At 44.7% G+C, this 24,846-nt stretch overlaps 3 annotated features.

The window, feature by feature from the left end:
• Positions 19,240-19,740: an enhancer, noted in NCBI's record as "H3K4me1 hESC enhancer chr9:79626622-79627122 (GRCh37/hg19 assembly coordinates)". NCBI's record gives its function as "activates a minimal SCP1, AML or CMV promoter by ChIP-STARR-seq in primed H9 embryonic stem cells {active_cell/tissue: H9 hESC(primed)}" and the evidence as "EXISTENCE:reporter gene assay evidence [ECO:0000049][PMID:30033119]".
• Positions 19,741-20,241: an enhancer, noted in NCBI's record as "H3K4me1 hESC enhancer chr9:79627123-79627623 (GRCh37/hg19 assembly coordinates)". NCBI's record gives its function as "activates a minimal SCP1, AML or CMV promoter by ChIP-STARR-seq in primed H9 embryonic stem cells {active_cell/tissue: H9 hESC(primed)}" and the evidence as "EXISTENCE:reporter gene assay evidence [ECO:0000049][PMID:30033119]".
• Positions 21,723-22,236: an enhancer, noted in NCBI's record as "H3K4me1 hESC enhancer chr9:79629105-79629618 (GRCh37/hg19 assembly coordinates)". NCBI's record gives its function as "activates a minimal SCP1, AML or CMV promoter by ChIP-STARR-seq in primed H9 embryonic stem cells {active_cell/tissue: H9 hESC(primed)}" and the evidence as "EXISTENCE:reporter gene assay evidence [ECO:0000049][PMID:30033119]".

The following is a 24,846-nucleotide window of genomic DNA, read 5'->3' on the forward strand; positions in this document are numbered from 1 at the left end:
TAGGAAGAGTCAGACCTCAAATTAGCAAAGGAAATTTTCATAGTTAATAATACAGGCAGGGCCCAGTGGCTCACACATGCCGAGGTGGGCAGATAACCTGAGGTCAGGAGTTCAAGACCAGCCTGACCAACATGGAGAAACCCCATCTCTACTAAAAATATAAAAAATTAGCCGGGCGTGGTGGCGCGTGCCTGTAGTCCCAGCTACTTGGGAGGCTGAGGCAGGAGAATCACTTGAACCTGGCAGGTGGAGGTTGCAGTGAGCTGAGATCACACCAGTGCACTCCAGCCTGGGCAACAGAGCAAGACTCCATCTCAAAAAATAATAATACAGTTTATGGAATAAATGCTATGAACCCATCTTTAAGAGATGACTTTACAGAGTTTGGAAAGTTACTAAAAGATAAAATTATACAATATGAAAAGTCACTATATTATGCCAGTTTTTTGGAAGTCTTAGCTGGATATGTGTGTATTTCACTGGAAATTGATGACTTGAAAAAGGTTACCAGTTCACCAACTGTGCTTTACGGTGAAAAACAAAAGCAAGCAAAGCAAAGCCAAAAAGAAGAAATGTGTGGTTCCTGGAGGGGGGTTAAAAGCCACCATGACAGATGACCTGGCAGGTTATGGTGGTGATGATGAAGCAACATCATTGTCTGGGGTAAATACCTGAGATTCATTGTCTCACGTCCACGGAAAACTGGATGTGGACATACAAAGAGTGAGGTGCACAGTGGAAGTTTAACAGGTAAAAGAAAGAGAAAAGCTCTCTGCAGAGAGAGGGTGCCTGGAGAAATGGGTTGCTGCCTCCACGGTGAAGGGCAGGAGGTTTTATAGATGAGCTTGGGGAGGCGGTGTTTGATTTACATAGGGCGCAAAAGATTAGTCGGACCAGGTGTGCCGTTTGCATAGCGTGTGAAAATCTGGCCATCCCCACTCTCATCTTTTATTATGCAGATGGGTTCTCTACCTGGCCGGCACCATGTTGCCTATTCTTTTACTGTACCATGGTGACAAAGAAAAGGGAAGATGAACTCTCCATGTTGAACATACCTGGCCCTCAGGTAGCCCGTTTGCATTGGCACAGCTGCCGGCATTCCCACCGTCCAAGCTTCTGGCTTGCTTATCCATGTCTGCAGCTCAATTTTTCAGGCTGCTCTTTGTTAGAAAAGAAATTATTTGGGGGCTGCCTTTTTTTGTTAAAAGGGAAATTCTGCCGAGGAAACTTTTACCTTCACTATCTTCCTGGATAACTTACTTACTTTCTTTTTTTTTTGATAGAGTTTCGCTCTTGTCACTTAGGCTGGAGTGCAATGACACAATCTCGGCTTACTGCAACCTCTACCTCCCAGATTCAAGCAATTCTCCTGCCTCAGTCTCCCAAGTAGGTGCAACTACAGGCACGCGCCACCACGCCCAGCTAATTTTTGTATTTTTAGTAGAGACGTGGTTTCACCATGTTGGCCAGGATGGTCTCGATATCTTGACCTCATGATCCACCTGCCAAAATGTTGGGGTTACAGGCGTGAGCCACCGTGCCTGGCCTCCTTTTCCTTCTTAATACGATCTAGTATCTAAAAATAAGAGTACCAAGCCCTAGAAAAGTCTTCAAATAGCCCAGCCTGTGGGCTTGGTGGCTCACACCTATAATCCTGGCAGTTTGGGAGGCCAAGGAGAGTGGATTGCCTGAGCTCAGGAATTCAAGACCAGCCTGGGCAACATGGCAAAACCCCGACTCTACTAAAAATACAAAAAATTAGCTGGGCGTGGTGGCAGGTGTTTGTAATCCCAGCTACTCAAGAGGCTGAGGCAGCAGAATGGCTTGAACCCAGAAGGCGGAGGCTGCAGTGAGCCAAGATTGCACCACTGCACTCCAACCTGGGTGACAGAGTAAGACTCTGCCTCAGAAAAAAAAAAAAAAAAAAGCCCAGCCTGTACATCAGACCCTTCTCTACATTTTAATGTGATTATTTGTATAGGCTTCTTACTAGTGAACCACCCTGAATGTTTAGAATAAGCTTCTTTGGTCATGGTTTACTTTCTTCCAATGTGCTGTTACAATCTACTTGCTGGTATTTGACTTAGGATTTTTGCATCAAGAGTTTTAAGCGAGGTTATTCTGAGGTTATTTCTTCCTTGTGCTTTTTTGGTCAGGTTTTTATATCAGTGTTATGCTAGCCTAATACAAATAATCACGAGGCCTTCTTTCTCTGTGGCATTAGATAGCTAAAATAACTCATCCATCTTTTTTCTTTTCTTTTCATTTCTTTTTTGAGACAGGGTCTCGCTCTGTCTCCAGGCTGGAGTGCAGTGGCATGATCTCAGCTCACTGCAACCTTTGCCTCCCCAGTTCAAGTGATTCTCCTGCCTCAGCCTCCCGAGTAGCTGGGACTACAGGTGAGCGCCACCACACCCGGCTAACTTTTGTATTTTTAGTAGAGATGGGGTTTCACCATGTTGGCCAGGATGGTCTCCATCTCTTGACCTTGTGATCCACCCATGTTGGCCTCCCAAATGCTGGGATTACAGGCATGAGCCACTGCGCCAGGCCTCCATTCATCTTTTGTTTTTTTTGAGACAAAGTCTTGCTCTTGTCCCCCAGGCTGGAGTGTAATGGTGCGATCTCAGCTCACTGCAACCTCCACCTCCCCGGTTCAAGCGATTCTCCTGCCTCAGCCTCCAGAGTAGCTGGGATTACAGGTGCCCACCACCAAGCCCAGCTAATTTTTGTATTTTTAGTAGAGACAGGGTTTCACCATGTTGGCCAGGCTGGTCTCGAACTCCTGACCTCAGGTGATCTGCCTGCCTTGGCCTCCCAAAGTGCTGGGATTACAGGCGTAAGCCACCACGCCCAGCCCATTCATCTTTTCTATAAAGGTTTGTCAAGTCACTTTTTGACAAGAAAAATGAGGGGTTTTTTTATACAAGATGGAGCTATAGGTTGTCTCTGCTCAGACAGGCTTTCCTTAATTTCCACCCTTCATTTTATTTTCTTTTTTGTTTCTTTGTTTTGTTTTGAGATGGAGTCTTACTCTGTTGCCCAGGCTGGAGTGCAGTGATGCAATCTCAGCTCACTGCAATCTCCGCCTCCTGGGTTCAAGCGATTCTCCTACCTCAGCCTCCCTCCTGCTAGGACTACGTGCACGAGTCACAATGCCCAGCTAATTTATTGTATTTTTAATAAAGATGGGGTTTCACCATGTTGCCTGGGCTGGTCTCAAACTCCTGAGCTCAAGTGATCTGTCTGCCTCAGCCTCCCAAAGTGCTGGGATTACAAGTGTGAGCCGCCGCGCCCAGCCTTATTTTCTTCTCGCTACCCTCACCCCCTTCCTTCTGCTCCTTCCAGGAGTCTCAGCAAAAGCTTCCTTTTTACAACTTGCCTTTTTAGTACTCTTCTAATTTTACCTGGAAAATGCCATTTATAGTATATTTACCCTCCCTATTTGTATGTGTCATATTGCTGAGTTAGAAAATCACAAAACTTTTCATCAACGTGGTTGTTCCAAGACAATGTTTTGTTGTGGGAGAGGTAGAGGTGGTACTCTGAAGCTATCCTAAATGTCTATAGGATGTTTCTCAGCAAGCCACATGCATCCTAATTCCCCTCTCTGGTTTTGGGTGGTTCAATATTATAAAGAGAAGCATTGGGGGAGCAAATATAAGACCACAAATATTTCATGCAATATCAGTTATGGCTATAGAAGCAAAGGAAACAGAGAACAGAAATAACTCTGTGAGCTAACAGTGTAGGGATGGTAGGCAAGGGTAATTTCTCAGATGAAATGTCCCTTTAACTATGCTTACAGAGAGGGCCTCAGAGGCAAATCAGGTTATGGCTTTTAAAAACTCACTACTATTTTTAGACCATGGCATATTATAAAATAATTTATTTTTGACAATTCTATACAGTCATCCGTTGGTATTTTAGGGGAATTGATTCCAGAACCCTTCCTGGATACCAAAATTCCTGATGTTCAAGTCTCTTATATAAAATGGCATAGTATTTATACATAACCTACACACACCCTGTTGTATACTCCAAAGAGGCCCTTTTGACATTTTTGTACAATTCTTCTCTAGGGTAATGACCATTAAAAGTTAATTTATTCTAAAGGTTAATGTAAATAAATTTTGAATGTGAATCTATTGTATTTGCTTCTAAGATCACACAGAGATCTCTTGTTTATGCCCCCCTTTTGTTGGCAGTAAGATCTTTTTTAGATTACAAAAAAAATAAAAAGAAAGAACCTTCAAGCTCGCCCTAATAAGAAATCTCTTTGCAAAGTCATATCTAAAGTCATAAGTCACTTTAAAACTCAGTCCACCACGGGAACATGCTGAGCTCTGGAACGAGGTGGTGCCTGCGGTGGCCTGTGTCCCAGAGGCCCCTTCAAGGTGCTGGCCCAGCTCTGCAGCTCATCTGTTGACTCCTGCTCCCTCTGCTGGCCCCGCTGCTCAGTGGCCATCCCCAAAACAGTATGTGTGTCAGATGTACGATGGGCCTCAGGAGACAGCAAAGACTGGTCCTTTTGGGGAAACTGAGTCCCAGTTGGTGATGGGCCTTGCTCAAACTCAGTCAGTGGCAGGGCCAGCACTGCAGCCAGTCTTCCCACTGTTCCCCAGTCCTCACAATTACACAATTACTCATGGCTACTCAAATATTTTAGAGCTTGGTGGTACTCCTCACCTATGAGCTGCTTTTCCAAAAACAAACACATTTCAAAGTGCATATATTATTAATTTATAATGTACAAATAATGGTTGACATTTTGACTGAGTTAACCGAAAGATTTTTTTTAAAGGATTCTGTTACTGATGCTGGTGATACACATAACAAAAATAATGAATCCCAAAAACACTGCGCTGAGCAAAACAAGCCAGACATAAAATAGTACATGTGTAAAGTTCCATTTATTCCTTTTACATGAAGGTCCAGAACAGGCAGAACTACCCTATGCTGATAGAAATCACCTCACTGATTGCCTGGGACAGGAGGAACTTCCAGTGGGCCCAGGGGAACATTTTAGACTGATGCAAATGTTCTAGATCTTGATTGTGATGTTGATGGCACAGCCACACACACTTGTCAAAACCCATTGAACATTTGTCAAAACCCATTGAACTATACATTTTATTTTATATTATTTTATTATTTTTTCTTTTTGAAATAGGGTCTCACTCTAGCCCAGGCTAGAGTACAGTGGCATGATCACAGCTCACTGCAGCCACGATCACCCAGGTTCAAGCAATCCTCCCACCTCAGCCTCTTGAGTAGCTGAGACTACAGGCACGCACCACCACATCTGGCTAATTTTTGTATTTTTTGTAGAGATGAGATTTTGTCATATTGCTGAGGTTGGTCTTGAACTCCTGAGCTCAACTGATTCTCCCACCTCGGCCTCCCAAATTGCTGAGATTACAGGCATGAGCCACCTCACCCAACTGAAGTACACATTTTAAATTAGTGCATTTGTATTTGGTGTAAATTGTACCTCAATAAAGTTGGTTTTAAAAGAAAAAAACTTCTGGGCTAGTCAAATCATAAACTCTAATCAGTTCTTTCAACCTGAATATACCTGGACCTATTTTTTAAAAGAACAAAAAAAGGTCAGGAGCAGTGGCTCACACTGTAATCCCAGCTCTATGGGAGGCCAAGGATCACCTGAGGTCAGGAGCTCAAGACCAGCTTGGCCAACATGGTGAAACCCTGTCTCTACTAAAAATACAAAAATTAGCGGGGCATGGTGGCATGCACCTGTTAATCCCAGCTACTCGAAAGGCTGAGGCAGGAGAATTGCTTGAACCCAGGAAGCAGAGGTTGCAGTGAGCCGAGATGGCACCACTGTACTCTAGCCTGGGCAACAAGAGTGAAGCTCCGTCTCAAAAAAAAAAAAAAAAAAACCAATAAACAGACATCCTCTTGCTTCAGTATTTGGCCACATGCTTTGATTTCCTGAAAAAGAATAAAAACCTAGATCCAAAAAGCAGGGTCGGAGGGAAATCATAGTTTCCACATGTTTTCTCATAAGATAATTGAGTGCCAAAGACAACACGCCAACAGGAGAAATAAAATTATGGCAAGAGCATGATGCTGGGTGGGAGGTCTTTTGAATCCCCAGCCCAGCTCCTCACCAAGGTGTGTGCTCTGGGGTGGAGGCTCAGCTGCCAGACACAACTGTGACTTGGAGTTTCTGTTCCACCTCAAACTTTCTCTCATGTGACAGTGGCTACACTGCACGGTGACCCCACTTTGATTGCCACTCTTCATAAGCCATGCACCACGACTTTCTTTATGGCTCCAGGTCCTATGTGTGTGAATTAGGACTTAGATGGAAGAAAATCCAGTTCTGGATTCTGGGTTCAAATTTGCTGGTAGAAAAATAGGGATTTGTTTATTTATTTTAGAGACAGGGTCTTGTGTTGCCCAGGGTGAACCCAAACTTCTGGGCTTAATCGATACTCCCACCTCAACCTCCCAAGTAGCTGGGACTTCAGGCACCTCACCCAGCTTTGTTACAAACTCTTTAACTCATGTATTCCTTACAGCAACGTTCTTTGCGAGATACTGTTATCACCCCTATTGTACAGATGAGGAAATTGAGATAGAGAGAAGTTCAGTAGCTTCATCAACATTATAGAAGGGACAAAGCCAGGCAGCAAACCTAGGCTGTCTGTCCTGATAGCTCATGCTTTTAATCAGCATGTTACAGTGCCTCTCCACACTGCAGAAGAAAATCAAGATGTGGACGCTGTTATGACCTGAATGTTCCTGTCCTCCCAAAATTCATATGTTGAAATCCTGTCAGTCAAGGTGATGGTAGTAGGGGTGGTTCCTGGGGAGGATGATTAGATTATGGGGGTGGAGCCCCCATGAACCAGATTAGTGTTTTTATAAAAGAGGCCCCAGAAAGGCCTTCAGCCCCTTCCACCATGTAGGACAGACAGAAACGATGCTGTCTAGGAGCCAGAAATCAGGCCCTCGCCAGAGGCTGAATCTGCCAGTGCCTTGATCTTGGACTTCTCAGCCTCCAGAACTGGGAGAAATGAATATCTGTTGTTTATGGGCTACCCTGTTATAACAAATAATAGCCCAAACAACTAAGACACTTTAAACCCTCACTACTCAAAGTGGGGTCCATGGATCAGCAGTCGCAGCACCAACCAGGAGCTTCTTAAGTATGCAGAGCCTGATCCTCCCTAGACCTACTGGCTTAGAGCTGGCATTTTAACAAGATGGGCAGGTGGTTCACTAAAGTTGGAGAAGAGCTGCTCTAAACAAGAAAGTGTTCAGTTTCTCTTGCTTTGTTTTGCTCTGTTTTTGCTTTTCTTTTAGTCCCAGGCTCCTCTGAGAATCTGATGAAAGTCATGGATCCCGGGCAAAAAATTGTGCACAGGATTTTGAAGAGGAGTTCATAGATTCATGTTCATGAAACCCTATTGTGGAGGATTTGAAGGTGCTGAGGACCAGTCCTTTATGCTTTCCATGCATTATTACATGTAGTCCTTATAAACCCACTGTCATTAACATGGGAACTTGGAGAGGTTAAGTAGCTTGCCCTAGTCATAGCTAGGAAGTGCTGACACCAGGGTCAAACTAGACATTCTGCCCTCAGGGCCCAACTATAACGCTTTTCTGCTGAGAGGGGTGACTCAGCTACAGTGATTCTGGGGAATATCCTGATACGACTTTCCCCTTCTCTGACAAGTTCATCCTCTCCACTACAGTATAGTTCCCATGAAGGAAGCGCCAATGGAGTGATGAGGTAGGGGCCACTGCCTACAGAGGAAGCTTGGCCGGATGGCAGGTGGATCCTAGCAATCCACGTGATGGTGGGTGTCCTGGGAAGGTCTCCTGTGTATCTGCCTGACACATTTCCAACCTGTCCAGCCTCAAGCCACGTGCCGATGCATAACTTTCACCTATATCACTCTCCTACTCTCAACCGTGGTTGGCAAAGAGATTTCCTTTCATGGGCCAACTGATTGATTGGTAGTGGCTGCTTGGTATTCCAATATTAAAGAGACGCCAGTTGAGGACTGTGGTAGATTAGTAACACCTGCCCCCCAGTGGCACAGGATAGCACAGTAGTAGGAACCACCTGGTCCATTAAATCACTGCTTAATTCCCTTGGCTTTCCATTCTTTTATTTAACACACCTGTACTAAGTATGAATTCTGTATACACAGCCAAAGCACTCTTATCCATCCTAACGGAATGACGAACTTAAACTGCCTGACAGAATGAAGTATTACTAACAAGCACATACACCTTAAACATTTCATTTTCAATTAAAACACTTACGTACTTACAAATTAACCACTTTTAGAAGAAGGGCTAAGTCCCTTTGCTTCTGGGCCCACTCTTTTGGAGTTTCCCATAGAATTTTTTCACACCAGACTCAAAATGCACCGTTTTTTCCTTTCTTTCTTTCTTTTTTTGAGACAGGGTCTTACTCTGTCACCCAGGCTGGAGTGCAGAGATGTGATCATGCCCCACTAAAGCCTCGACCTCCTGGGCTCAAGTGACACTCCCACCTCGGCTTCCTGAGTAGCTGGGACTATGAGTGTATGCCACCATGTCCAGCTAATTTTTATTTTTTGTAGAGAGAGGGTCTCCCTATGTTGCTCAGGCTGTTCTCGAACTCCTAGGCTCAAGTGATCCTCTCACTTTGGCCTCCCAAAGTGCTGGGATTACAGGCATGAGCCACCACGCCCGGCCAAAATGCACTATCTTTTAAAGATCCTTCCAAAGCAATATTGCTGGCAGTATCTTAACAGATTCCCAGTTACTATCGGCTTCCCCACACCTCATCCAAAAGCAAAATTTATGGGAAATTTATATATGTTTCCAAGCATTCAACTTAGTTTTCATAGAAATAATCCTTTTCTTTCCCCCTCATAAAGTTACCAAACCACACATTTCATCAAATTATATAATTACGTAACAAGTATAATTTGTACAAAGAGATTTGGGCAGAAACACAACTAATTACTGGAGGTATGCTACTCAACCAGCTGCAAAGGGTTTTACGGAGAACTGGAGAGCATTAGTTACTCTCATGAGCCAGACAAGTGATGGCCAGTTAGCAGAGTTTTGGTTATACAACGCAGAGCCCTCTCTGGTGACACTCAATTAAATGAGACTCTCTATTAGTCAAAATTTCCATGTACAATGTTCCTAATATGTCTGTAAGGCATTAAAGTTCCTGATGTAGGATGGGCACGGTGGCTCATACCTATAATCTTAGAACACTGGGAGGGCGAAGTAGGCAGATTACTTGAGTCCAGGAGTTCGAGACCAGCCTGGGCAACATGGCAAAACCCCATCTCTACAAAAAATACAAAAATTAGCCATGCACGGTGGTCCAGGCATGGTGGTGTGCACCTCTAGTCCCACCTACTCAGGAGGCTGAGGTGGGAGGATCGCCTGAGCCCAGGGAGGTTGAGGCTGCAGTGAGCCATGATTGCATCACTGCACTCCAGCCTGGGTGACAGAGTAGGACCCTGTCTGAAAAACAAAACAAAACAAAGAGATCCTGCTATGACTTGGAATTATAAAATGAAAAGGAACAAAAGATTAAAATATGTTCAGATAATCCTTCCTGATGTCTTCACCTTTTTTTGCAGGGAGTCTTTTGACATCATTTTAAACTTATGTTCTCCCATAAGAACTCTTGTAATTTAGCTTTTGTCAAATCTGAAACAAGGAGAGGTTAAAATATATACAAATTAAAGTAAGTTTGTGATCTCCATAGTGTTGTGATAACTTTGTTACATGTAATACCCTGAAGAAAATATTGATCTTGGCAACTAAAAACAGAAACCAAAAATAACAGTGGTTAAGACAAGAGAGATATTTGGGTTTTTTTTGTTTTTGTTTTTTTCTTCTCACAGAGATAGGCAGTCTGGGGCTAGAATAGCAATTCCAGGTTCATCTGGAATGCAGGCTCTTTCTTTCTGTCCAACAGCCTTACTTTATGACTTCCATCCTCAAGTTTGCTTCATGGTCTCAAGATGGCTGCTGCAGCTCTAACTATTACGTTAGCATTCAATGCAGGATGAAAATAAGGGAAGGCCACAAACCATGTGCTTCCCTGTCAATTCAGGCCCCTTAGAAAAACTTTCCTGGAAAGCCCCACCTAGTGACCTCTGCATACTTTATCACTGGTGCTCTTATCTGTAAGAATATCTAAAAACATCATTTTATAGCTAGGCACCAGATTCAACGATTTAGAGTTCTTGTTACTGAGAAAGAGGGAAAGACTGGATAGTGAGTAGAGTAGACAATCAACAATGTTTCCCATAAAATATAATCTGGCCAGGCACGGTGGCTCATGCCTATAATCCCAGCACCTTGGGAGGGTGAAGGAGGAGGATCACTTGAGCCTAGGAGTTCAAGACCAGTCTGGGCAGCATGGTGAAACCCCATCTCTACAAAAAACATGAAAATTAGCTGGACATGGTGGCACATGTCTGTGGTCCCAGCTACTAAGGAATCTGAGGTGGGAGAATCACCTGAGCCTGGGAGGTCAAGGCTGCAGTGAGCCATGATCACACGCTACACCACTGCACTCCAGCCTGGGTGACAAAGGGAAACCCTGTCTCAAAAAAAAAAAAAAAAAAAAAAAAAAAAAAAAAAAGATTAAAAAAATCCTAGCAGGATATTCTAAAAACTGAAATATTTGATACACACCTTGTTTCCTGACTGGTCCAGATAACCGGGAATTTCTGTATATTGCAAAGATCTATTGATCTTTTGCTTTGGAAAAGTGCTGTTTAGTTGTTACAACTGTTTTAGACACCATATGGAACACTTGTTTTATTCATTCCCTAACTCCATTTCAAGCTACACACTACCCAAGACATTTGTGTCAGGTGCCAGCTCAAGCTCACATGGATGTTGCTACCATGAGCAGAATTCCACTTCTACAAAGTACATACTGCGCATACTCAACTCTGTAGTTGTGAGCTTTTAGAAATATTGGTCAAGGTCATATTACCAATTTTTGCCAATCAGTTGCACCTGAGAACACAAGACGCACTAGGCAGGCAGCAAAAAGCAGCTGACTGACTGCCCAGGGTGGCTTGCCTCCAGTTTCTTTTTTACAATCTTCAAGGCAGCCAGTGCCTTTTACAAGGGTGCAATAAGTTCTCTCTTCTCCAGTATCCAATACAACAGTTGCAACAGTGTATCTTAGAACCATTTGGAAATACAGTTCACCAAACACTTAACAAGTGCTGACTTTGTTAGAAGATGGGAATGCCCTCAAAGATTTCACCCCTACGAAGGGAGATGAGATGTGAGACACTGATTCACGGGTAAAAGGAAGGCCTACAGAGATTGTGGAAGAAAGTTCATAGCTTCCTTACTTCTACTAAGTTACACTTGAACAAGCCCCAGCCCACAAGGCCCCTTCCTTCCCAGTGGTTGTCCTGGACACTCCACTTTTTTTTTTAAACCTTCATGGGAGGTATTGGATTGCCTTGCTTTTACTTTTTTGGGCATCAAAGTCCCATTCACCAAGCATCTCCAACTATAATTCGTTAGGCTACGTGTAATCAATTCCTTCCTCTGTTCCCATCATCTCTAATGCTTCTTTCAGTTGCTCTATTGGCTGGCATTGCTCACTAATGACAAGACCTCACTAGGACCAGGCGAGATCATTTTGGCTTCCATTGTTGGACCATACCCGTGACCATCACCAACAATGTCAAACACTTAACAACCTCTGACACCCTTTAGCACCATAGCTCAGACTCTCAGATTTAAAGCATGATGGAGGCAGAAATTCAGCTGGCCCCCAATCACCCCTCTCTCACAGGTACCATCTCAACAACGGTTATGTACCTCTACCTCCCCAAATCCACCTCCTTCCAAAGTCTGAACTTCCAGCAGTGGGGAAATGCCCTCTCTCCTAAATTCCTGGTTCCATCCTCCAATGTATAAGCAAATTGTCTGAGGTCAGAATCGTGATTCCCAGTGAACACACTAGTTCAAGAATTTGGGGTTACTTATGTACACAAATAAATAAAGATACAATATAAATGAATGTAACAATGTAACAACAGACAAGTATGAGGAAGAGAGTACAATGGGTATATTCTAGTACTCAGAATACCAGTCATACATATGAAATTTGTTTTTTTTATCTAAAATACACTTTTTCCATACAGTAATTCATTTGAACTCAAAGACTCTGGCATGTACAGAAATAGGTCAGGTATTATCATTTTAAACATGAGAAAACAGAATCTTAGAAAGGTTAAATACCTTTCTCAAAAACCTCTCAAACAGTACAATAGAACTTCAATGTAAATCCAGATCTTCTGTCCAAATCCAGTTCTTCTTCTACTACATTATCTGCTGATGGGATTACTCTAGTGTTCAGCTCATTGTGGGGCAGCCTTAACTAAGAAAACATTATAAATCTCCCTCTTGGTTGGGCGCGGTGGCTCACGCTTGTAATCCCAGGACTTTGGGAGGCCGAGGTGGGTGCACCACTTCAGGCCACGAGTTTGAGACCAGCTTGGCCAACATAGTGAAACCCCATCTCTACTAAACATACAAAAAATTAGCTGAGTGTGGTGGCAGGCACCTGTAATCCCAGCTACTTGGGAGGCTGAGGCAGGAGAATTGCTTGAACCCGGAAGGCGGAAATTACAGTGAGCCAAGATTGTGCCATTGCACTCCAGCCTAGTCAACAACAGCAAAACTGTGTCTCAAAAAAAAAAAAAACTCCCTGTTTTTCAGTATCAGAGCCTACTATGTGAGTTTCCAAGTCTTCCTTAACTTACCAAACTGAATTACTCCTTTAGATCTCTGTTATTCCTCCCACTGGGAAGTGGAGTCATTTCCTTCCCCTTGAATCTTGGCAGGCTTTGGTGACTTGCTTCACCAATGTAACATTGCAGAAGTGATTTATGAAGCTAGGTCATAAAAAGCCTGTCAGCTTCTGTTCGGACCTCCTAAGAACTCACTCTTATAAGCCTGCTGCTATGCTGTGATGAAGCGCAAGCAGCCCATAGAAAGAGCCATGAGGAGAGGAAACAAGGCCCCAAGAGACAGCCCTGTCTGAGCTCCTGGCCAAGAGCCATGTGAGGGAACCATCTTAGAAGTGGATCACCCAGTCCCCGTTAAGACGGATGAGCTGTCTCCACCCAACCTACCCAACTTGCAGATCCATAGACCAAGTAAATGATTGTTATTATTTCAAGCCATTAGGTTTTAAGATGATTTGTGTCATAGCAAATAACTGCAGCCTACCTTTCCAAAACCTTCATGGCTAACAACAATACGCAAACAGAAGTAGTAGCATATATCAAACTGGCCAATACATTATGAATATTTGCATGTTTATTTCACTTACATATTCTATTTTATATTTTTAAAAGTAAATGAAGAGGCCGGGCACAGTGGCTCACGCTTGTAATCCCAGCACTTTAGGAAACCTAGGTGGGCAGATCACCTGAGGTCAGGAGTTCAACGCCAGCCTGGCTAACATGGTGAAACCCTGTTTCTACTAAAAATACAAAAAATTAGCCGGGTGTGGTGGCACACACCTGTAATCCCAGCACTTTAGGAGACCTAGGTGGGCAGATGACCTGAGGTCAGGAGTTCGAGGCCAGCCTGGATAACATGGTGAAACCCTGTTTCTACTGAAAATGCAAAAAATTAGCCAGGTGTGGTGGCACATGCCTATAATCCCAGCTACTCGGGAGGCTGAGGCAGGAGAATCGCTTGAACCGGGGAGGCGGAGGTTGCGGTGAGCTGAGATCGCACCATTGCACTCCAGCTTGGGCAACAAGAGTGAAACTCTATCTCAAAAAAAAAAAAAAAAGTAAATGAAGAGTACCCTCTAATTTAAAAAGAAAAAAAAAGGCAATTAGATGAATTGCTTTAAAATGCCTTCAACCCTAAATAATAAAAATCTTATTATAAATATATTAGTATTTTGTTTGAAACTCTGTGAAAAGAATTAGGCCCTCCAGCTTTTACAGTTCCATGAAGGGCTTCTAAATATAGGAAAGTAAAACTGAAATTTATGTCAGTTTGTTAATGGCATCACTTAAAACTATAACAGTTAATTAACTAATTAACAACTTAATTAACTCAGCAGTTAATTTACTTACTTGAGTTCACTTAAATTCTCTAGATGTGATTTAATGAACTTTCAGTGTAATTTCTGACTAACCATGTAAATTGTATGATGTATATCTCTTTGATTTGGATTTTTTTAAAAAAATAATATTATTTAAGGCAGAACACTAAGCCTACTAGGGAGTTTTCAATTTTTTCTTCAATAGGGAAACTCTCTAAACTTCTGGCAAGTAGCAAGTTTCCCATCAACCTTGCTGGGGTATTTTTTGTTATTGTTTTTGTTTTTGAGACAGGACTCACTCTATCATCCAGACTGGAGTGTAGTGGCATGATCTCGACTCACTGCAACCTCTGCCTCCTGGGCTCAGGTGATCCTCCCACCTCAGTCTCCCGAGTAGCTGGGGCTACAGGCATGTGTCACCACATCCAGCTAGTTTTTGTATTTTTAGTAGAGATGGGGTTTCATGTTGGCTAGGCTAGTCTGGAACTCCTGGGCTCAAGAGATCTGCCCACCCCAGCCCTGCAAAGTGCTGGGATTACAGGCATGAGCTAATCCACCCAGCCCCACTCAGCCTTTTTACTTTCACAAAGAAAATCATATTTGGATTTGCTGGCTTGTTTAAATGCATCAAAATAAGATTCACAAATCAGCAAGCTAATGTGACCAAATTTCATGATAGTTTATTAATAATTAATTATCCTATATTCTTAAAAAATGGACATTGAAACAAACAATAATTGAAAAAGAAAGTGTTATAAAACATTTCTCTGGTCCATGGATTTACTTATTTAACCAATATGTTTACATAGCAGTAGGTAATGTCAGGTTACTCAATATGTGGCCCATCAACCTGTGCCCATCTATGAACTGTTTTTACCAGTGGGAAATGAGAAGAGAACAGGAAGTAAGTGTTTAGATATATTTACAGGACTTTGAGAGAATAAATGTACATCTATTGACTATCATAAAGAGACATTTGGAGGCCAGGTGCAGTGGCTCACTCCTGTAATCGCAGCATTTTGGGAGGCTGAGGCAGGCGGAGTCAGGAGTTCAAGACTAGCCTGTCCAACATGGCGAAACCCCGTCTCTACTAAAAATATAAAAATTAGCCGAGTGTGGTGGTGAGTGCCTGTAATCCCAGCTACTCGGGAGACTGAGGCAGGAGAATCGCTTGAACCTGGGAGGCAGAGGTTGCAGTGAGCCGAGATCGCACCATTGCATTCCAGCCTGGGCAAAAAGAGTGAAATTCCACCTCAAAAAAAAAAAAAAAAAAAAGAAAAGAAAAGAAAAAAAAAAGAGAGAGAGACATTTGGGCTTGTATTTTGCCCCGTATTTTTATTTTAGTTTTCTAATCTTTCATTTTTATTGTGTTTTACAAACATCTCAATCTGCAACAGATTGCTTTTTTTTTTCAAAGCTGGTTCTTTTTCAAAGATGGTTTGGGAAGCACTGATTTAACTGTACTAACTACTGTGGCAAACAAAAATTGGATAAAAAATGATCCCTGCTTTCATAAAGTTTGCATATTAATAAGAAAGGCAGGTTGTGATTGTTGCATAATTGAAGTGTAAACAACATGTTCTAGACACTTAGAGGAAAAAGATGATTCTACAAGGAAAGGTAACAGAAGGCTTTGTGGAGGAGGCAATTGTTGAATGAGGTCTTATTTGATGAATGAGTAGAGTTTGGGGAGGTAAAAATAGAAGAGGATACACATTTCAGAAAGAGTGAACAATGGGAGTGAAGTCAGGGGGGAAAATGCGGCTATGTATTCGGAAGAGCATGCAACTGACCTCCTTTGGTAGGAGCAGAGGGAATGTGATAAATCTAGAAGGATAGACCCAGAGGCCCAATTGTAGAAGGCTTTTTGAATGTGAAGCTAAGAGGTGTGCACTTGCCTAAGGTCATCTCCAAACTGCTATTGAAAATTTCTGAGCAGAGAAGTGGTGGTGTTCTTACAGTTGTGCTTCTGACAGAGGAATTCGAGGGGAGAAAAACTGGAGAATTAGATGAGGAAGGATACTCCAGATTCTTCAGGTACAACCTGATAGATTCAAGTCATCTTAAGACCCTGCCAACTGAGATTTTTAAAAGTACACTTTTAACCTTTCCAAAGTAGTGATCAACAAGTGAAAATACAACAGCAATTTACCCCAGAAATCTCCTGAGTAAGTGACAGGTTGCTAACATTTATGATGCATTCGCCGTGTGCATTTTAGGTCCAGTATCTCATGTAATCATCAAAATCACTCTATTTCAGGTTCTATCATCCCCATTTTACATATGAGTAATTTGAGGCTATAAAAGTTAGGTCCCATACCCAAGGTCACTCACTAAATAATAAGAGCCTAGGGCCAGGCTCGGTGGCTCACGCCTGTAATCCCAGCACTTTGGGAGGCTGAGGTGGGTGGATCACAAGGTCAGGAGTTCAAGACTGAAGCCTGGCCAAGATGGTGAAACCCCGACTCTAGTAAAAATACAAAAATTAGCCAGGGGTGGTGGTGGGTGCCTGTAATCTCAGCTACTCGGGAGGCTGAGGCAGGAGACTCTCTTGAACCCAGGAGGTGGAGGTTGCAGTGAGTCGAGATCATGCCATTGCACCTAGCCTGAGCAACAAGAACAAGCTTCTGTCTCAAAAAAAAAAAAAAAAAAAAAGCACCTAAAATTAACCAAATCAGTCTGATGCCAAAGTCCATTTTGGCACTATTGGATGCCAAACAAAAAGTAATCACTCAAACATGTTAGGCTTTCCCTGCATAAAGGATGATTTAGAAGACAATTAAAATCCATACCAGCTATCTACTTGAACCTTATGAAGCCCATTCTTTGGGAATGTCTGGGATTTTATCTGTTTTTCCATCTGAAAGATGAGACTACAATGAACAATAGGAAGATGATTTTTCTTTAGTAAGAGCTGAGGATATTTTTATATCTATAAACTCTTGAATATTCTTGCTTCACAAAAGGACCAGCACAAGTTGCGCTAAAAAAAAAAAAAAAAAAAAAAAAAAAACTTAGCCAGGCACAGTGGCTCACGCCTATAATCCCAGCACTTTGGGAGGTCAAGGCAGGCAGATCACTAGGTCAGGAGTTCAAGACCAGCCTGGTCAACACGGTGAAACTCTGTCTCTACTAAAAACACAAAAATTAGCTGGGTTTGGTGGTGTGTGTCTATAATCCCAGCTACTCAGGAGGCTGAGGCAGGAGAATCGCTTGAACCAGGGAGGTGGAGGTTGCAGTGAGCCAAGATCACACCACTGCACTCCAGCCTGGATGACAAAGCGAGACTCCATCTCAAAAAAAAAAAAAAAAAAATCTTATCAATATAACAAAGCAAATATATGACTGCCTATCCAGAAGTACAAGTTACAATGGCAAGTCTGCACTTGAATAAATGGTGGCAATAAAAGGTGAAAAACAAACACTATAAAGTTTATTGATTTGCCTAGTTGGAAAGGAGAAGCTAATGGAACAGAAACTACTGATCATAGCACCATTATTCTCTAGAAATGTGAGCAATTTCAAAGACACTATTTTTATCTTGAAAAAGATTCTAATTTAATTGTCTTCCATACTATAAATACAATTATATATCTGTTGTTTGAGAATATTAGAAAAAAACCTTTAATTAAAACAATGCACATGATTGAGATAGAAATTCTAATAGAGGCACTTCTCTTTGAGCACGTGACTTAGGAACTTACTGACAGTTGTATCCTCCAGTGCCAGCCCCTGAGAAGCTCCGAGGAAGAGCAGTATTTAGTTTCTCGTAACTGTTTCCTAAGCGTAAATAGAAATGTCTAATTATGTTGCAGTCTCCTTCATCTACTCTCCTTGCCAATCTCTTTGGCACACAATCCCAGCCTCGATATTCTAACTAGTGTTCAGATTCCCAGGCTAGCTCACATGAGTAGCCAGATTCAAACTGTAGCAGAAATAAGATTCAAGAAAAAATAGTATAGGAAAAAGAATGGGAGACAGGACAATGTATGTTCTGGTTATCTACTGCTGTGTAATAAATCACACCTAAACATAATGCCTGAACAGCAATGGTTTGTTAGCCCATGCGTTTCTGTAGATTGACTGAGCTCAGCAGGGAGGTTATTGACTAAGGTCTCTCATGCAGTTGCAGTCAGGTAGAACTGAGGCTGAAATTATCTAGAAGTTAACTGGACTGGACATCCAGGACAGTTCCTTTACTCACCACATATGACATCTCACTTGGGATGGTTGGCAGAGCTGGTGGCTGATCAGGCATCTCTCTCTCTCCAAGAGTGCGCGCTCTCTCTCTCTCTCCCCCGCCAAGCTCTCTCTCTCTCTCTCCTTGGCTAAACTGGATTTCCTCACAGTGTGAGCCGTAGGACTTCTTACCTGTTGGCTGGCACTGCCCCCCCACCCCCCAATCCCCACCACCACCCCAGAGTGTGTGTTTTAAAAGGGCAAGGCAAAAGCTGCAAGGGTCCTTCTGATTTGGCTTGAAATCATACTGCACCACTTCTGCCACATGCTACTTGTTCCCATGGGACTGGGTCAGATTTAATATGAGAAGAAACTGCACAAGGGCATGAATTCCAGAAGGCATGGTCCAATATGGGGGTGGGAGCCAGTATCTTTGGAGACTAGCAACAGAAGGGGATAAGAAAAGGACCTTTTAGGGTTGTGATCAGTCTCAAAGGAGAAATTCAAATTTTTAGATACATTACTGGTTTAACAGGACTTAAAGCGGAACAGTACCAACTAGCTGGGATCCTATCTACCAGTTACAGTATTATTCCTAGGGGAAATTTCACTTTGAGTGAAATACATAGTGGTTTTAAAACAAAGTATTTTTAACACAACCAATTTATGAGTGTGGGATTGGGAATCTGCTGATCATAAACTTACTATCCACCAAACTAGGCATCTCTTGAAAGTAAAACCTTTCTGTTTCTCCAACATCCAGTTGTCTGTCATTCTGATTTATTTTACTTCAGAGTTATGAATGATCACTATGAATACAAAATACTTAAAAGAATATAAAAACAAAATTTTTGAACCATATGATTCTATATAACTTGAATCTCCCACTTATATCGTTGAAAGGCTTCTTAACAACATAGAAAATTCTATATTTCTATTGTCAATAATTATCAATACACACGTGGGGCTGGCATTAAATAATGACTACGGATTCCTTTCAAGGAAGTTTTTGTTTCTTTTGGAAAAGCACCTCTATATTTGTAGGTGCAACTTCGAAGTTCACAACTTCCAAGAGGAAATTTGGGATGTATTTCAAGTACCGTTTGATTTGATGTTGTCTAAAGTTATCTATGAAAAGCATTACAGATGGTTGGCACAAATCAAGGTAGATTGGGGTTTTCACACAGAAGGGAAACCAGTGAACCATAGCCTGGCATTTCTAGAAGTGCCGCTACCCCAGGAAACTCACATCTCTCCACCTCCATCGCTGTGCGGAGAAAACCCGCACCGAAGGCGGCTTCCTCTCTAAGGCGGCGACCAGGGGAGACAGCGCCCCCTGCTGACTAAAATCACGCAGGCCTCGTTGCCAAAGTGCAGCGGGCGCAGCGGGCGCAGCGGTCTCCCGGCTTCCCTCCCGGCGCCCGCAGCCTGCCTAAAGCCTTTCTGGAAACTCGTGTTTTCAGCCTCAGCCTGGCAGACTGCGGAGGGCGGGCCAGGAAGAGTCAAGGAGCCGGGGGTCTCAGACTTTGCTCACCCCTTGGAAATCACCTTCTCGACCCGCTAGCCTAGGCCGAGACACAGTCTGTATTCTGAAAGCCGCCAGTCCCACCAGGGGAGGAGAAACCCAAAACAGAAGGAGCAGGGCCCCACGGCTGGGCTCGTGACGAAGCATTTAATGACCTTTTTAAGGAAACGAGGGAGGAGGTGAGGAGGCCAACAGCCGCTTAGGAGAGCCCGAAACGAGCAGGCTGGAGGAGTTAGGTTGAAGAGAGGTGTCAAATTAATTTCCACCAATTGTGTGTGAAATCGTTGCCGAAGTCTACTTTGGGATACCCAGAGATAACTTCGTTACGGGCACCCTGCTGACTTAGGAAAATAAGCCTTACTACCCAGTCAGGCATTTAATGTGGATGTTAAATCATTTGTGATTACTAATGTCTGAGTACTTTGTCATTGCCAGGCCCTCATTTTCCATCAGAGCAGTCCTAATTGATTTAAATGGTCTGTTTCGCCTTGGTGCACGCATGATCACATCGTAAGTGGTCTTTAGGACTATTTTAATTGCCAAGGATGTTTTTCCTTAAGAAAATCTCTGCCCAGAGCAGAACAAATTATTATTGCAATCTACAAATACACAAACATTGTTTTTCTCCCCTCTCTGCATATTTTGTTACAGCAGCCTCTCTCTTGTGTTTTTTGGGGGGAGGGAGATTCCAGTCTTAATTTATGCAAAATTAATTGATATATCTTTTATAATTGATGTGCTGTAAAATTAATGAGTAATTTATGTAATTAGTCAATTAAGGATAATTCCAGCATATGTTCAATATGCCCAGAAGGTGTACTTTACAAGTAGTTATTTGTCCAGGAGTTTGATGCTGAGAAAACTACCTAATTAATTTTTTATGCATATCAGCTTAGTATCTATTTAACAGCTCCCTTTGTGATAGCAGATTTAATATTTATCTTTCTAACATGTCTGAGAGGATGTACAATGGATAGCCTCTTGGTGCCTCTAAGAAGGCCCTTCCAGTTGGATGCCTCCTCACTTTAATTATAAAAGATCTTTGCTCTGATGGATCAACAACATCCGCCCCGCCCCCCCAACTCCACCACCACCACCAGACACACACAGACATGGGCGGGCACCCACGTGCCCAAAGGTGCGGTATGTGATGTCAGGGACGTTATAAATCGCCATCATTAGAAAATGTTTATGTGGAACGAAGAGATCATCTGGACCCACCTCTTTAATATTCTTTACCCCCCTCTCCTTTCCCCGCCGATGACCCTTTAAATGTATCTTAGAGGACTTCAGGGGCTTTCGAAGCATAGTGAGCTAGATCTGTTGGCTAATTAATTGACACTGTTTTGAATATTCATATCTAATATAGCCAGTATGCTCTTAATTACATTGTTGGACTTCTCTCCAAGGAGGCTAAATCACCAAAGACTTAATTAATGTAATGTATTCCAGAACTGGCTGGCTGAAAAGGAAGACAGTTACTGTCAGGAGTTTAACCGCGACACCTGGTTGCTGATGTGCGGAGTCTTTGTTATTAGTCGTCGGAGGGAGCGCAAGAAAGTTATTTAATTTTTAATCGTTGGTTATTTATTTGGTGGTTATGGTTGTCAGTGGCCGCTACCTAAACAGACACGGCCCGTAGGAAAGCTTCTGGATGTTGGCCAAGAGGTGTGAGGCGCGGGTGGACTGTAAAGGGGAAATTGCTCTGCTAGGGTGACACAAACGCTTCCCATCTCCACGCTGATTGCGCGCCCCGGGCCACAGGCAGTGTACACAGCCGCGGTGTTCGAGACGAATCTCGCCTCGAAGAGTGGAGATTTAAAAGTCAGGTTTCTGACTCTGGGCAGCACGTAGGGTCTTTGCGGAGTGAGTTTCGGTCAGACGAGAGCCTGGGGTCAATGTCGAGGTGGAGCGACGCTGGCACGGCAACCCTGAGCCTGCGCGGCCCGGCGCTATCCCCTGGCTCTCCGCTGCTGGCTGGACCCCCTTGTATCCTCCTTCCCTCAAACTCGCACACCTACGGCTCAGACAACCCAGCCAGTCTCGCCCGCGAGCGGAGGTGCTAGAAACTTTGGGGGACGAAAGCTGGGCTGTCTTTCTTGGCCGGTGGCACTGCGAGAGAAAGCCGTGTGCACCCCGCGGCTGACCACTCCAACGCCAGATACATCCACCCGCTCATGTACCGCCGTCGGGCTTCATTTTGTCGAGCTCTTCTTAGGTACAATTAGATTTGGAGGAAGGAAAAGATGATGACTTCTAACAGCAAAAACGATAATAGCATCTTATGTATTTACAATGCTTCACACTTTACAAGGCGTTTTCTGACGCTTGGCACACAGTAGGCTCTTGATAGAGGTTTACTGGATCAAAGTATTCCAGCAGTCACTCTCAAAATCCCACGTCTCAGAATCGCACTTTTAAGGCAACAGGGTCATCGCCACTTTAGAGAAAAGGAAACTGAGGCTCAGAGAAGAGGCAGTCGCACAGCCAGTAGGTGGCGAAGCTGGAGCTCGAGTATCGTCTCCTAAATTCAAGGCCAGTGCTTTTTTTCTCCAAGAAATAAATGCCCCTGACCTCAGGCTTTTCCCTTCTGCCCTCCACCCTCGGGCATTCCGAAAAGTCAAATCGAGCTTATGCACTCAAATCCAAGTAGGGCGGAGCCAAACCTGTGTCCTGGGCGCCTGCCGGGCAAGGCGCGGGGACTGGACGGGTCGGAAACGGGGCAGGGATGCACTTCGCAGAGATGTCAGGTCGGGTTGGTGACGCTGGAGGCGACGGATTCCTAAAACGTTATAAGGGGTTGACGGGTGGCGCTGCTGCCCTGCAGCGTCCCCAGCTGCGCAGCTCCTGAGCTCCCCGCTCCGAGCGCCCAGACCCCCAGCGCCACTCCACCGTCGAGATCACAGCTTCAAACCTCAACTCCTTGGAGCCTTCGAAGGCGCAGTTCTGACTACTGAGTATTTCCTGGAAAGAAAAAGAAGCCCAAAGCGGTGAAATGATGCCTCCAGGGTCATCCAGGCCTGGACTCGAGCTGGAAGCCACGTTTCCGAGTCCTGGGGCTGGCTTTCTCCTACCCTCTTCAAATCCACTTTAGGAGTTTCGTCTGGGAAAAGTATGCGCCGAGAAGTCAGCCGAAGGTCAGGCAAGTGCCAGGCTAGCGTGACCAGGAAGGCTCCTGGGAGGACCCCAAACGTAACTAACCCAGGCAACCTTCCGCACGTCAGCTAAGTCAGTGCGTAAAGGGAGAACCCATGGAAATTGAGATGTGCGCCTAAACCTTTGCCTTTTTTCTAGCGCTGTACGTCGTCCTAGCCCTATCGGTAACTTGTGTTCCTCCTCGCCCTGGGCACAGCTGTCCGCAGAAGCCGTGGGAAGGCCTGGCCTAGATCCAGCCCAAGGAGCGCGTGAGACCCTCCAGGGGCTGGGGGCATGGAGGAGAAAGAATGAATAAATAACCGCTCCTAAAGTTCCACATCTTTTTTTACTCCCCTCCATAGAGCCAATTAAACGCAATAAAAGCTTGCATGGAACCCCTCTTCCTAGCATAGCGTCGCCAACAATTGCCTAAGGGGTAAACCAAATACGCCTGAGATAATTACACTAAGCCCGGGGCAATGATTTGCCTGCCAGCGTCCTGAGCGCCAGCCAATATTTGGATAGTGCAGTAGTTGTTTAAAAACAACAAAAAAAAATTACTCGCGGAAACTTGAAACCGACTGGTTGGTGCCAGGGTGGTTACACGATCTGTTTTTCTTGAGAGGGGGTCTGCAGGCAGCTGGAGCGCGCGCGTTCCGGCCCCCGCCGGTGCCACTGAGCGCCTGCAAAACTTGTCGGAATTAACCTCCGGGGAAGTAGGGGAAGAGGAGAGCGCGCCCCCCTCCCCACCGCGGCCCCAGCTCTGCACCCCGGCCCAGTGCCGCGCTTGGAATCCCCCAGGATCCTCCGCGGCGGCCGCAGCCCGCCACTCTCCAAAACAGACACGCGACCCGAGCTCCCTGTCTGCGCTCTAGGCAGCAATTGCGGCCTGGGCCGCCGCGTCCGGCTGTGGCCTAGGTGGTGGGAAGTACTTTCTACCCTCGCCAAGCACAACCTGAATGCGGAAGCGTGAGGCTCGGGGCGCTTCGCTCAGCCTCCGAGACTGTTTTGTCCCAGGTTGCGTGGAACCTGGCTCGCCGAGGCCGAAGACACTGGCCAAGCCCCTGGCGTCCCCTGGCGCTGAACCTGAGGTTGTGGCGGCGGGTCTGCGGGCTGTAGCGAGCTCACCCAGTGAGGGCCTGGCTCATTTTTTGTGCTCAGGGTTCGCGTTATGCGCCCAAGATTTGTCCCGGGAGTCCCTGAAGGGCCCCTCCCCTCGATCGGTTCCCAGGAGCCGCAAGTGCCCAACGGGCACGGTCCCAGAGCTGCTCCCCAAAAGGAGACTCTGCTGTTCCAGCAACCCGCGGAAGGGATGCTATCCGAGGTATCAACAAAAGATCCCTTTGCTCGAGCTGCGTGTGGGGTCGAAGTCCGGAGAGCCCTTAAGTGTGCGGCACGCAGAGCTCCTCAGCAGCGGCCTGACAGCGGTGCAGGAGACCCCAGCTTCCTGGGCTGGGACAGGGCTGTTGTCTCACGGTCTTGTTCCAAGGAAAAGGAGCCACCTGGCTCCAGCAGGCTCTTGTCAAACTGTGAGCGTCCTTGGAATTCTGTGGCTTCCCGAGGCCAAGAGGCTGTCCGCTGCTCGGCTCTCTCAAGTGTCTCAGCGGACAAAAATCGCGCAGAAACTCCTATGGCAGGAGGAAAGCTTCCGACATACAGTGAAAGAGAAAACATCTTACTTTGAAAAGGGCTTAGGACCAAGAAGCTGCTCTTTTCCCCGGGCCTTCTTGCAAGCTTCAGTCGTAACATCTATTCTCAGACGTCTTCTGGCCTAGGACAAACTGGCCACATAGAGCTAGCCAGAAATCTAGCTCCTGACTAAAGATGGAAATTACGGGCCTGACCCGCTCACGGCACTCCTGCGACCTGGCTAAGCCACCCCACGGACAGACGTGCTCCCACCGTC

This window comes from Homo sapiens, chromosome 9 (assembly GCF_000001405.40).
Source record: "Homo sapiens chromosome 9, GRCh38.p14 Primary Assembly".
In the NCBI taxonomy this organism is placed as follows: domain Eukaryota; kingdom Metazoa; phylum Chordata; class Mammalia; order Primates; family Hominidae; genus Homo; species Homo sapiens.